Below are 12,076 nucleotides of genomic sequence, written 5' to 3' on the forward strand. Positions count from 1 at the left end.
AGCCTCAACCTCCTAGGCCCAAGCAATCCTCCTGCCTCAGCTCCTGAGTAGCTGGGACTACAGGTCTAGGTCCCATGCCCAGCACATTTTTTAGACAGGGTCTCACTATGTTGCCAGGCTGGTCTTGAACTCCCTGCCTCATTCGATCCTCCCACCTCAGCCTCCCAAAGTGCTGGGATTACAGACATGAGCCACCGTGCCCAGCCTGTTTCTGTTTTTTATTTTTTCGAGACGGAGTTTCACTCTTGTCGCCCAGGCTGGAGTGTAATGGTGCGATCTCAGCTCACTGCAACCTCCGCCTCCTGGGTTCAAACGATTCTCCTGCCTCAGCCTCCCAAGTAGCTGGGATTACAGGCACCCGCCACCACGCGTGGCTATTTTTGTTTTTTTAAGTTTTTTGAGATGGAGTTTCGCTCTTGTTGCCCAGGCTGGAGTGCAATGGCACGGTTTCGGCTCGCCACAACCTCCACCTCCCGGGTTCAAGCAATTCTCCTGCCTCAGCCTCCTGAGTAGCTGGGATTACAGGCATACGCCACCACACCTGGCTAATTTTGTATTTTTAGTAGAGACGGGGTTTCTCCATGTTGGTCAGGTTGGTCTCGAACTCCTGGCCTCAGGTGATCCACCCGCCTCAGCCTCCCAAAGTGCTGGGACTACTGGCATGAGCCACAGTGCCCGGCCCTGTTTTTCATATGAACTTTAAATTTAGCCTATCTAGTTCAAAGCACATTCCTGTTGGTATTTTGCATAGACGGATGCACAGGAGGTGGCCTCAGTGGTGAGTGCCCGAGAGATCCAGGCCGTGGCAGAGCTGCTGCAGATCTCCCCTGAGGGCCTGCAGAAGGCCATCACCTTCAAAGTGACCGTGAGTCTGTGGGCATCTGGCCTTCGAACAAAGCTTTCTACCAGGGCCTGGACAGAGCTGCTTGTGCCGATCCTTTGTGGGCAGCCTCTCCCTCTCTCCTGCTCTCTCTGTCCCTGGGTCAGGCATGGAGGGGAGTAATTTCAGACCCCAGAGACATTTCAGATTCCAGTCTCAGACTGTTGCATAGGCTGTTTCCTCTACCCGGAATGCTCTTCCTCTTTTCACACCTACTCATCCTTTAAGACCCTATCCAGGTATCCCCTCCTCTAAGAAGCCTTCCCTAATCTTTGGACGGGTCAGTGCCTCCTCTGGTCTTTCACAGTCCTAGGCCCATTCTCCCTTCCCAGGGTTGATCTCATTGTATCTGCTGATGCCTCTGTCTCCCCCATTAGACCTGCAGTCCCCACTACTACCAGCATTTCCAGGCAGAGTCAGAGTGGGGGCAGGGGTGGTCCTGCCTAGTCTCTGTGTGCACAGTCACAACATCCCTCCAGCCTCCCTTCTCCATGATCCCACTCCCTTAGTCCCCTGGGGGCTTTCCGGAGGCAGAGTGGCCAGCCTGATGTCACTCAAGGGCTGTGCCCGTCCCTAGGAGACAATGCGAGAGAAGATCTTCACGCCCCTAACTGTGGAGAGCGCTGTGGATGCCAGGTGAGGCCACGCCCTCCCCTGCCTGAGCCCCGAGGCCCAGCACCCCACCACGGTGTCCTGCTCACACCAGCACCACCTCTGCTCCAGGGACGCCATCGCCAAGGTCTTGTATGCACTGCTGTTCAGCTGGCTCATCACCAGGGTCAACGCGCTGGTGTCCCCAAGGCAGGACACACTGTCCATCGCCATCCTGGACATCTATGGTTTCGAGGTGGGGCCGTGTAGGAGGCTGAGGGGCGGGGGACATAGGCAAGGTCTCGCCTCCCTCAGGCGTCTCGGGCTGCCCTTCCCATCCCTTTCTGTGCCTGCAGCAGGTGCCATCCTCCCTTCATGGACCCCTCCCTGTCACCATCTCCCTTGTCTCCTTCCATTTTCTTTACTCACCACAAGTACTCCCAAGGCCTCTGGGCCAGGCCCTGTGCTGGGCAATACCAGCTGCCCAGAAAGGACCAGCCAGGGCCCTGCCCTTGGGGAGCTTCCAGGTGAGGCTGGGTGGGGAAGGCTTCCTGGATGAGGATGAGACACTCCTGAGACCCAGCAAAGGCACTGTAGGTGCAGGGAACAGAATATGCAAGGGCTGGGAGGGGTGGCGGGTCATGAGGTCTGGGACTGGACTTCGTGTGTTGGGGGGTGACTGTTTTGTGAGTGCACAGCAAAGGAAGTGGTGAGGGACAGGGCAAGATCACCATGCAGCCATCACAGGCACTCACGTGGCACCTGTTATGTGCCAGGTGCTGTTTAAAGCACTTTGTTAATTCACTTCATCCTTACAGCAACCCTATGAGGCAGGTACTGTCAGTATCCTCATTTTACAGATGGGGAAACTGAGGCATGGGGCTGTTATTCAAGGTTATGTAGCTAGAAAATGGCAGAGCCAGCATTTGAACCCAGGCAGAAGGCCCCAGAGCCTTGGCCTTCAGGCACTGCCTGTGCTGTCAGGACAGAGCCTGTCAGATTCTGTCCTGGGTGCAGCAGGAGCTGTGGAGGGTTGTGAGCTGAGGGCCTGTGGCTGAGCTCCAGCTTTTTGAAGTTGCCACCAGGGAAGGTAGGGGCAAACAGGCTGGTGGCCAAGGAAGGACCAGTCCCAGCACCCCCATCCACCTGGCAGGACCTGAGCTTCAACAGCTTTGAGCAGCTGTGTATTAACTACGCAAACGAGAACCTTCAGTACCTTTTCAACAAGATCGTCTTCCAGGAGGAGCAGGTGTGTGGGCCCCATTAATACTCCTGTCCCTGTCTTGACTGGCCAGTGGACCTCCTTGGAGACAGATGAGGATATACTGGTTGTTTAAGGGCAATTCTGACATCAGTAGACAGTAGAGGGAAAGGCATTCTAAGCTGGGGACCAGCCCATGGGAAGGCCTCTGTTCTGGAGGGAAAGGTGCTGAGGTGCTGTGCTCAGAGAGGAGTCCCCTTGGTGGGGGTCCTTCTTCTCCTCTACTGGGCTGTCCCAGGCAGAGGGAGCAGCAGGACCCTGAGTTGGCTCATGCTGCCTTATTAGGGGGTGAGCTCCCTGTTCTGGGAGGTATGCAAGCAGAGGTGCTGCTGGCCAGGCTCCTTCAGATTCAACATGGGAGGGAGGGTGGGTGGGCCCTGGACAGGGATGGGAGGTTGAGCTCCTGCTGCCCACTGCCTGCAGGAGGAGTACATCCGTGAGCAGATAGACTGGCAGGAGATCACCTTTGCTGACAACCAGCCCTGCATCAACCTCATCTCACTGAAGCCTTATGGCATCCTGCGGATCCTTGACGACCAGTGTTGCTTTCCCCAGGTGAGCCGCAGGCACTGTGTGAGCCTAGTCAGGTCACAGATCTCTCAGCCTCATGTCCTCATCCCACCCTGACTCCTTCATTCCTCTCTGCTCTGGCCTGAGTCAGGCAGTGGGGGGTTGGGACACCCGACCTACTATTCACAACCTGGGGTGATTGAGGCCAGATGGGCCGCTGTGGGTGTTCAGAAGAGAGGCTACACCAGTCTGGAAAGCCACAGAAGGTTTCCTGGAGTAGGTAACCTTGGAATTGGGCCTCAAATCCTGATTGCAAAACACAAGGGTGGAATGGCAGTGAGATCAATAGAGTGCAAAGGCAGTTGGCCTGGAGGGGAGGCAGTTAGGAGCTCACCCAGCTACACCTATCTTCAAGGGACCACTCAGGCCTCCAGTGCCTAGCTAAGGCACTCGCCTTCTGACCCAGGGAGATGGGCAGCCATGGGAAGCTGTGAGTTGTTCCTCTCTGGTGCTCAGTTGGGAGCAGTCGGGGATAGTGAGGTTGCCACCAGGCCAGGAACAGGGTGTCCAGGCCTCCTGCCCACCCACTGATCCCTAAATTGCCCCCAGGCTACAGACCACACCTTCCTACAGAAGTGCCACTACCATCATGGCGCCAACCCGCTCTATTCCAAACCCAAGATGCCGCTGCCTGAGTTCACCATCAAGCACTATGCAGGCAAGGTCACCTACCAGGTGAGCCCTAAGACAGTCGGCCTGGACGCTGGTGCTGCAGTGCTGCTAGCTGTTGGAGACACAGAAGCACAACACTGGCCCCAGACATTCACAGCCAGGTCCAATTCTGGCTCTGCTGTGCCCCAGCTCTGTGACCTTGAGCAAATTGCTTAGCCAGTCTGAGCCTCAGTTCTCTCACTTGGAAAATGGGGTAATAATAGTGCCCAACTCATGGGGCAGGTGTGAAAAATGTAGGGTGGGTTTGATAAAGAGTAGCTCATCAATAGTGACATCACTATGGTCACCCTCATCACTATTATCTGAGGCACATTCCTGCCCTGGAGGTGTCTCAGGCTAGGATTCCATGCCTCTGTCCCCATCCGGGCCTTACTTTTCTCATCTGTAGAATGGGCACAGGACAATGTCCTTCACTGAGGGTGAGGCCAAGACCCAGGTTGGTCATGAGAAGCCATGGCGAATGCTCCCCTCCCCCAGGAGTAGGGAGAATGGTGGGGGCTGGAGGGGTGGGGACCATAGAAGTGAGGAGGATCCAGTCCCTCCTAGGATAGACAGAGAGACAGAGGCCAGGATTACCCAGGCCATTGTTCCCCTTTTCAGGTGCACAAGTTCCTGGACAAGAACCACGACCAAGTGCGCCAGGATGTGCTGGACCTGTTCGTACGGAGCCGGACACGGGTAAGCCTCGCCTCCCACCGCTCTGGCCCTGCCCCCAGGCATGTCCCCACCCCCACACCCAGCCTGCCTTCAGGCCTGGGACCGTGTTGCCACGTCCTGGCTCCGCTTAGCTTTGGCCAGACAAAGACAAGGGTGGCCTGGACACCCTGTTCCTGGCCTGTTCCCACCTAGCTTGGCTCCGCCCTAAACCTAGCGCCTCATCCTGATCCTGTCCTCTGGCTCCCCACAGCCCCAGTGGCTAGACTCTGGCCCCGCTCCCAGTTCTAACCCTGTACCCCACCAGCTGTGGCCTTGCCCTGTACTTACCCCACTCTGGGCCCCACCCCATTCCCTGGCCCATTCTTTCCTGGCTTCTTGCCAGACCTGTTCCCCCAGTCCCACCTCCTGGTGTTCTCAGTTTCTCCCACCCCACCCATAAGGCCCCGGGGAAGAGCTTGGGGGACCAACTTTGGGTTCCTTGAAGGCTTGGGGAGGCCCTGCATCCCAGCTACACTACGGCCAGCAGATGGCCCTATGACAGAGCACAGGCCTGGTAACATCACCTCCCCTATCTGGCCCTCCGCTTCCTCCTGTCAACTGGGCAACCTCCTCATGAGGTCATAGCCAGAGTTCACAACCATGTATCTAACAGGCCACCCTGGGGCCAGGCACACAGTCAGTAACTGTGTGTTCCTTAGACTGAAGGGGAAAAAGCCAGTTATGGGATGGATCCCTTGGAAGATGCTGAGCCCCACCTGTTTTGAGAAGCATGCAAGCCAGGATGACAGAGGCCTTGCAGAGAGAACAGGGGTCCAGTTAGTCTTCAGATCCCCCTGGTCCGGAGATTTACTCCTGCTCTCTCTTCCTCCTCATTTCGGTCTCCCGGACCCTGCCTGTCTGTTTTCCCTGCCCCGACCCCTGCCCAGGTGGTGGCACACCTCTTCTCCAGCCATGCCCCACAGGCTGCCCCTCAGCGCCTGGGCAAGAGCAGCTCCGTCACTCGGCTCTACAAGGCGCACACTGTGGCCGCCAAGTTCCAGCAGTCACTCCTGGATCTGGTGGAAAAGATGGAGAGGTGGGGTGGGGGGCAGGTGGGCGGAGCACCCAGCCTCATCCTTAACCCACCTCATGACCCTCAGAGGTTGAGCGCCTTCTTTTTCTGAGGCCTCATGCTGTCCTCTTCCTGCCACTGCCAGGTGCAACCCCTTGTTCATGCGTTGCCTGAAGCCCAACCACAAGAAGGTGAGTGAGAGCTGAGGCCTCTGAGAGAGCCAAATCCTCCTGCCCATGCTGTGTGACCTTGGGCAAGTGGCTTGGCCTCTCAGGACCTGCATCTGCCCAGCCTAGCACTGGGAATATTCACCATGATAATGCCTTTTGCACATGGCTGAGCCAATGTGCAGACTCCCTCTCTGGGCATCCCTACAGGAGCCAGGTCTCTTTGAGCCAGATGTGGTAATGGCACAATTACGCTATTCAGGGGTGCTGGAGACCGTGAGGATCCGCAAGGAGGGATTTCCAGTGCGCCTGCCTTTCCAGGGGTTCATCGACAGGTATCTTGGTTACGGTAGTTCCTGAGCTCTACAAATCCCTGCCCAACTCCCCATGGCCCCAGGAATACACAACCCAGGCAGTACAGGGCTTGCCATGCACAGTTGCTCAGGTTGTACACTTCACAAGGCTACCACATGCTAACTGTTAATGTGGTAGATACATTTATTGTTTTGCCTTTTTTTGTAGTTATATGTTGTATAACGTATAATATGTCTAATCAACGCTCCGCGTTATTAGAATGGTTTTAGTAGTTATAATGACAAGTTTCCAGCAGGTGGCAGTCAAGTGTCCTGTTGTACTGAAATCATCTATTATAACAATTGTCTGACACCCAGAAGTAAAGAGTCTTGAGGATGGAGTGCCTTTTTTCAGATTAGAATAAACTATTTGTGGAGCCACCACTGGGACCAGGCTTTTTGGACACCTGGCTGGGGGCAGTAACCCCATGGTCTAGCAGACACCTCGGGTAGGTCTCATAGCCCCAGACTAACTTTGGGCCCCCTACCAGGTACTGCTGTCTAGTGGCCCTCAAGCATGACCTGCCGGCTAATGGGGACATGTGTGTGTCAGTGCTGAGTCGCCTGTGCAAAGTCATGCCAAACATGTACCGTGTTGGGGTCAGCAAGGTGAGTCCTGCCCGACAGTCAGCCCTTGGAGACCCCAAGTTTGGGGGGGTCCACAACTACTGAGTCAGAAATGTCCAAGCTAGAGACTGCCATCCCAGGAGCAACCCAGATGAGCTTGGGATATGGAATGCTAACTACCTGATTCACCAGCATCCTCTCTTCAACCTCTCCAAGTCCACCCCATCCCTCCAGCCCCGCTCCAGGAGGCTGCCCTGCCTATTCTGTCTCCACGGACTTCTAGAGAGGGAGGGGCCCTTAGTCCAGCCTCCTGGCTCCTATCTGCCTCAGTGCCTTCCTCCTGTCCTTAGCTGTTCCTTAAGGAACACCTATACCAGCTGCTGGAGAGTATGCGAGAGCATGTCCTGAATCTGGCAGCCCTCACTCTGCAGCGCTGCCTCCGTGGCTTCTTCATTAAGCGGCGATTCCGCTCTCTGCGCCACAAGATCATCCTGCTGCAAAGCCGGGCCCGTGGCTACCTTGCCAGGTGAGGCACAGAAAAGGCAGGATTCCTAGGAGACCTATGGTCAGGCTCGGGAGAGGTCACGCCTGAACTTAGGTGGTGAGCTCCCTATCCCTGGAGGCATGCAAGCTGAGGGTGGAGGCCTCTGCAGGAGAATGATCAGATTCTCTGTGTCTCTGCTTTTGAATGCCCTTCCCAGCCAACCCCAGGCCCTTGTGACTGGTGGGTGGGAATCCATTCAGCCAAGAGGGGCCTTACCCTGCATTTCAGGGACCTGAGATTATAAGCTGTTGGGAAATAAATTATTCAGGCAGGTTTAATCCAGGCCTTGCTACTTAATATGCTGTGTGACCTTGGCAAAGTCACTGCCCCTCTCTGAGCTCCAGTTTCCCTTTGAGCCAAAGGACCCCAAAAGTGAGATGTGGGCACTGGCTCCCAGGCCAGGCTGGCAAGGGCCTCTCTACCTTTTGGTCACCCTGTCACCCTGTGGCCCCAATCCCTGACCTCCCCACTACCCCAACCCAGGCAACGCTATCAGCAGATGAGGAGGAGTCTGGTGAAGTTCCGGTCCCTGGTACACGCATACGTGAGCCGCCGACGCTATCTCAAGGTATAGGCCCTACCCTATCTGGGTCCAAGGGGACAGCAGAGAAGGGGAAAGGGCACTTAGCACCCAAGAGGAGACTACTGGCCTCAGGCAGTCTTGGGTTCAAATTCTGCCTCTGCCACCCACTAGCTCTTTAACTTTGGCCATTGTCTATCCTCGATTTTCCCATCTACCCCTTGGGATTGTGGAGAGGGTTAAATGAGATGTTGCATTGAAGGATTTGGCCTGGTGCTGGGTTCACAGTGGGGTCTTCGGGAATTGAGGGCCATTAGAATTTGGTGACCTGAATGTCACTGGGTATGGTTTTGCTCTTACCTTCATGTCTTGACCCACTGTCATGCAAACTAGCCACCAGAAAGACAAATGCAGTTCCCAAAGCAATGAAGCAGTAGGTAGCCTTTACTGAAGGTGGCGCTACAGAGGAGGGCTTCCCATGACACAGTGCTCAGCCACCTCCCAGAAATCCTCCTTGTGTGTCTCTTTCCCCAGCGTTTTTCTCCCTCCGCTTGCCTCTGTTTCTCTCTTGCTCTCTCCTTTTCCCTCCCCTTTTCTCTGGCCAACCTCAGCCTCCCGCCCCACCTGTGGAGTGGGGCAGTCACCTCCACACAACAGGCAAGCTGCCCCCCTTGCTTGAGTGTGGCCGCCTTGCGTAAGCTGGCCTGGCCTGCCTGGGTGCCGGTCGTCACCTCTGCCTGCCACTCCCCAACCTGACATCTTCTCTTCTGAAGCTGAGGGCAGAGTGGAGGTGCCAGGTGGAGGGGGCGCTGCTGTGGGAGCAGGAGGTGGGTGTGGGTCTGGGTGGCAGCAGGGCCAAGGAGGGAGGCTGGCAGGTGGGGATGTGGCAGGCCTGTCCCTGTCCCATGCACTGTCCCTCTAGGAGCTGAGCAAGCGGGAGGTAGTCGCTGTGGGGCACCTGGAGGTACCGGCTGAGCTGGCTGGGCTCTTGCAAGCAGTGGCAGGTGGGTCAGCACCAGGCGGGGGGAGGGCCCAGGCAGATCAGAGCAGGCACCGCATTCCCTCCTCTTTCCACAGGCCTCGGGCTGGCCCAGGTGCCTCAGGTGGCCCCTGTGAGGACTCCTCGACTCCAGGCTGAGCCCCGTGTCACACTGCCCCTGGACATCAACAACTATCCTATGGCCAAGTTTGTCCAGTGCCACTTCAAGGTAAGGGCTAGCTGAAGTCCAAGGCTCCCTGGCTGATAGGCGCTGACCAATTAGAATGGACATTGTCCTTGCCCTGGGGCAGGCTCCTGGCTGTGCCCTGTGGTGTTGGGTATGAGCCTTTTAGTTGCTGGATCATAGGGAATCTGGGAGATCCCTGAGGTCTGGATAGCAGTGGAGAGCCCTCAGGGGCTCGGGCAGGGCTGTTTACCACCAACCAGTCTGGAAATATTTCAGAAATTGAACAACTGGTGGAGCCATAGCATGTCAGCCCAGCTCTGATTTCCTCCCCTTGAGATGAAGGTTTATCCTGTCCCTACCACCGACTTGCTGAGGGCCACTGTGGTGGCCCCTCACCAGCCTCAGTTTCCCCATCCATACACTGAGGACCAAAGCCCCTGCCTCATAGGCCTTGGAGCCCCATGTGGCACAGAGCAGTGGGTCCAGATGTGCCTGTCAGTCCAGCTCTGTCTGCTCATGTGCCTGCCCTGTGTCTTAGGAACCTGCCTTTGGGATGCTGACAGTGCCCCTGAGGACACCCCTCACGCAGCTGCCAGCCGAGCACCATGCAGAAGCCGTGAGCATCTTCAAGCTGGTATGGGGTCTGCCCCAGCCCACCTTCTAATTCTTAGCCCCTGGCCCTGAAACTGGGCCATGAGGCTCCCAGTCTTCCCAGCCCTCCCCAAGCCCAACCCATGAGCCCCACACCTCTTCCCCAAAGGACAGACTTTTATGTCAGAGGGGGAAATCTGGCTTCCTCTCTGAGGACTGGTGGCTTTTCTTCTCCCAGCCATCTTCCTGGCAAAAAAAAAAAAAAAAAAATTCTGCCTTGGAGCCTCTCAAGGACACCAAGAAGAGACCCAGATCTCCTTAAGGACTTCTCAGTCTGAAGGGGGAGGCAGAGTTGACCCAGCCAGTGACCACCAGTATGGACAGAGGGAAGCACCAAGTCTGGGGAGTCTGATGGGGCCACTAATTCAGCCCTGGGCAGGGCCAGAGAGGGCTTCCTGGAGGAGAAGGCATTTGAGCTGGAGGGGAATTTGCCAGGCAGGGAGAGTGGAGAAAGTACACAGAGAAGAGGAAATTGGTGTGGTCAGAACAGAGTCAAGAGGGCAAGGGTGAGACTGGCCAGTGAGGCCTTGATTACAGTACCCAGAGCTTAGATTTCATCCCAAGGCACCTAGGGAGCCAAGGCAGGTGCTTCCATGGGAGGGTTGTGGTCATATCTGAATGTTAAAAAGAACCCTCTGCGGCCTAGATAGAGCAGGAGGTGGGGGCTGGCTGGAGGGCCAGGGGTGCAGGGAGGGGGCTAGGGCTGCATGGGGAGCTCTAGAAGGTTCATGAACAGGAAAGATGACACATACTTTGGATCTTTAGTTTTCCCATAGTTGAGGTAAACTGCCTGGTCATTCGGCATAGAATATGGCAGTTGTAGGCCAAGCACGGTGGCGCACACTTGTAATCCCAGCACTTTGGGAGGCCAAGGCAGGCAGATCCCTTGAGTCCAGGAGTTTGAGACCAGCCTGGGCAACATGGTGAAACGCTGTCTCTACTAAAAATACAAAAATTAGCTGGGTGTGGCTGCATGTGCCTGTAATCCTAGCTACCTGAGGGGCTGAGGTGGGAGGATCACTTAGGCCCGGGGAAGTTGAGGCTGCAGTGAGCTGAGATCCCACCACTGCACTCCAGTCTGGGTGACAGAGACTCCATCTCAAAAAAATATTCTATATATATAGCAGTTATATTGTAATATAAGGGACATTTATATGGGCAGGGGCACACATGGGAGGGACATGAGAGGGATGCATGTTGTGGGGTGGGGACTGGAAGGAACAACTTTCTGAGATGCCCAGGAGACTCTGTTCGTGGCCCAGATCCTGCGCTTCATGGGCGACCCCCACCTGCATGGTGCCCGGGAGAACATCTTCGGGAACTACATCGTGCAGAAGGGGCTGGCGGTGCCTGAGCTGCGGGATGAGATCCTGGCACAGCTGGCCAATCAGGTGTGGCACAATCACAATGCCCACAATGCTGAGCGGGGCTGGCTGCTGCTGGCCGCCTGCCTCAGTGGCTTTGCACCTTCCCCGTGCTTCAACAAGTACCTTCTCAAGTGAGTGGGACTGGATAGGGGCTGGGACACGAGGGACGGTGGCACCAGCAGTGGAGCCCAAGGCAGGGTCTTAAAGGTCAGGCCAGGAGTCAGATCTCTATGCTGGGAAGCTCAGGCATGGAGGCTGGCCAGGGCTGCTCTGCATTTCTACTGGGCTCAGAGCAAGAAAGGAGGGCAGGCCTTCACTGCAGGGGCTAGGAGTTAGGTCAGACTGGATGAGGGACTTCCAGAACTCAGAGTGGGACAAGACCAGCATGTGGAGAATTTGGAAAAGAGCATTGACCTCTCACAGCATGAGAGTTTAATGGGGTGGTTAGGAGCATGGATACGGGACTCAGACAATCAGGGTTCAAATCCCAGCTCAGCCATATATGAGCTGTGTGACCTTGGGTAAGTTACTTAACCTCTCTGGGCTTTAGTTTCCTTACATATCAAATGGGGGTTATTCTTTTATAGTTTATAAGTGTGATGATTGAGTTTTCATGCTCAGGCATGAGATGTGTCACCCTCAAACCTTGCTAAAACATCAGCACAAGACCAGACGCAGTGGCTCAGGCCTGTAATCCCAGCACTTTGGGAGGCCAAGATGGGAGGATCGCTTGAGCCCAGGAGTTGAAGACCAGCCTGGACAATGTATTGAGACCTTGTCTCTGCAAAAAATTTAAAAATTAGCTAGGCATAGTGGCACACGCATGTAGTCCCAGCTACTCAAGAGGTTGAGGCAAGAGCATTGCTTGAACCCAGGAGGTTGAGGATGCAGTGAGCCAAGATCATGCCACTTACACTTCAGCCTGGGCAACAGAGCAAGACCCTGTCTGATGTTAAAAAAAAATGGCATAATGATAATACCTACTTCATAGGCTCTTGTGTGGATAAAATATATAAACACACGTAAAGTGCTTAGAACAGAGAGGGGCACATGGTAGGT

At 55.5% G+C, this 12,076-nt stretch overlaps 1 protein-coding gene and 1 non-coding gene across 8 annotated transcripts in view, besides 4 other annotated features; both read left to right on the forward strand.

Moving 5' to 3' along the window:
* MYO15A (myosin XVA) overlaps positions 1-12,076 on the forward strand; it is a 71,045-nt gene that overhangs the window by 26,204 nt on the left and 32,765 nt on the right. For 2 of the 7 annotated variants that reach the window (NM_016239.4, XM_017024715.3), the window contains 18 exons: positions 752-865; positions 1,458-1,516; positions 1,604-1,727; positions 2,625-2,720; positions 3,156-3,287; positions 3,852-3,977; positions 4,575-4,652; positions 5,558-5,706; positions 5,828-5,873; positions 6,060-6,184; positions 6,694-6,811; positions 7,120-7,295; positions 7,797-7,881; positions 8,607-8,660; positions 8,756-8,837; positions 8,911-9,041; positions 9,538-9,633; positions 10,913-11,148. In NM_016239.4, the coding sequence (NP_057323.3) occupies positions 752-865; positions 1,458-1,516; positions 1,604-1,727; positions 2,625-2,720; positions 3,156-3,287; positions 3,852-3,977; positions 4,575-4,652; positions 5,558-5,706; positions 5,828-5,873; positions 6,060-6,184; positions 6,694-6,811; positions 7,120-7,295; positions 7,797-7,881; positions 8,607-8,660; positions 8,756-8,837; positions 8,911-9,041; positions 9,538-9,633; positions 10,913-11,148 (2,027 nt within the window). Of the gene's footprint in view, positions 1-751; positions 866-1,457; positions 1,517-1,603; positions 1,728-2,624; positions 2,721-3,155; positions 3,288-3,851; positions 3,978-4,574; positions 4,653-5,557; positions 5,707-5,827; positions 5,874-6,059; positions 6,185-6,693; positions 6,812-7,119; positions 7,296-7,796; positions 7,882-8,367; positions 8,661-8,755; positions 8,838-8,910; positions 9,042-9,537; positions 9,634-9,828; positions 10,310-10,912; positions 11,149-12,076 lie in introns of those variants that run through there. The other 5 variants (XM_017024714.3, XM_011523918.3, XM_024450780.2 and 2 more) reach the window with 5 other exon arrangements.
* Positions 158-1,151: an enhancer, noted in NCBI's record as "H3K4me1 hESC enhancer chr17:18038431-18039424 (GRCh37/hg19 assembly coordinates)". NCBI's record gives its function as "activates a minimal SCP1, AML or CMV promoter by ChIP-STARR-seq in naive H9 embryonic stem cells {active_cell/tissue: H9 hESC(naive)}" and the evidence as "EXISTENCE:reporter gene assay evidence [ECO:0000049][PMID:30033119]".
* Positions 1,152-2,145: an enhancer, noted in NCBI's record as "H3K4me1 hESC enhancer chr17:18039425-18040418 (GRCh37/hg19 assembly coordinates)". NCBI's record gives its function as "activates a minimal SCP1, AML or CMV promoter by ChIP-STARR-seq in naive H9 embryonic stem cells {active_cell/tissue: H9 hESC(naive)}" and the evidence as "EXISTENCE:reporter gene assay evidence [ECO:0000049][PMID:30033119]".
* Positions 7,292-8,257: an enhancer, noted in NCBI's record as "H3K27ac-H3K4me1 hESC enhancer chr17:18045565-18046530 (GRCh37/hg19 assembly coordinates)". NCBI's record gives its function as "activates a minimal SCP1, AML or CMV promoter by ChIP-STARR-seq in primed H9 embryonic stem cells {active_cell/tissue: H9 hESC(primed)}" and the evidence as "EXISTENCE:reporter gene assay evidence [ECO:0000049][PMID:30033119]".
* Positions 8,258-9,222: an enhancer, noted in NCBI's record as "H3K27ac-H3K4me1 hESC enhancer chr17:18046531-18047495 (GRCh37/hg19 assembly coordinates)". NCBI's record gives its function as "activates a minimal SCP1, AML or CMV promoter by ChIP-STARR-seq in primed H9 embryonic stem cells {active_cell/tissue: H9 hESC(primed)}" and the evidence as "EXISTENCE:reporter gene assay evidence [ECO:0000049][PMID:30033119]".
* On the forward strand, positions 11,593-11,692 carry LOC124904129 (small nucleolar RNA U13). Its single transcript, XR_007066006.1, has one exon. It is a non-coding gene; the product is annotated as a small nucleolar RNA U13 (small nucleolar RNA).

Source organism: Homo sapiens, chromosome 17 (genome assembly GCF_000001405.40).
Source record: "Homo sapiens chromosome 17, GRCh38.p14 Primary Assembly".
Lineage (NCBI taxonomy): Eukaryota > Metazoa > Chordata > Mammalia > Primates > Hominidae > Homo > Homo sapiens.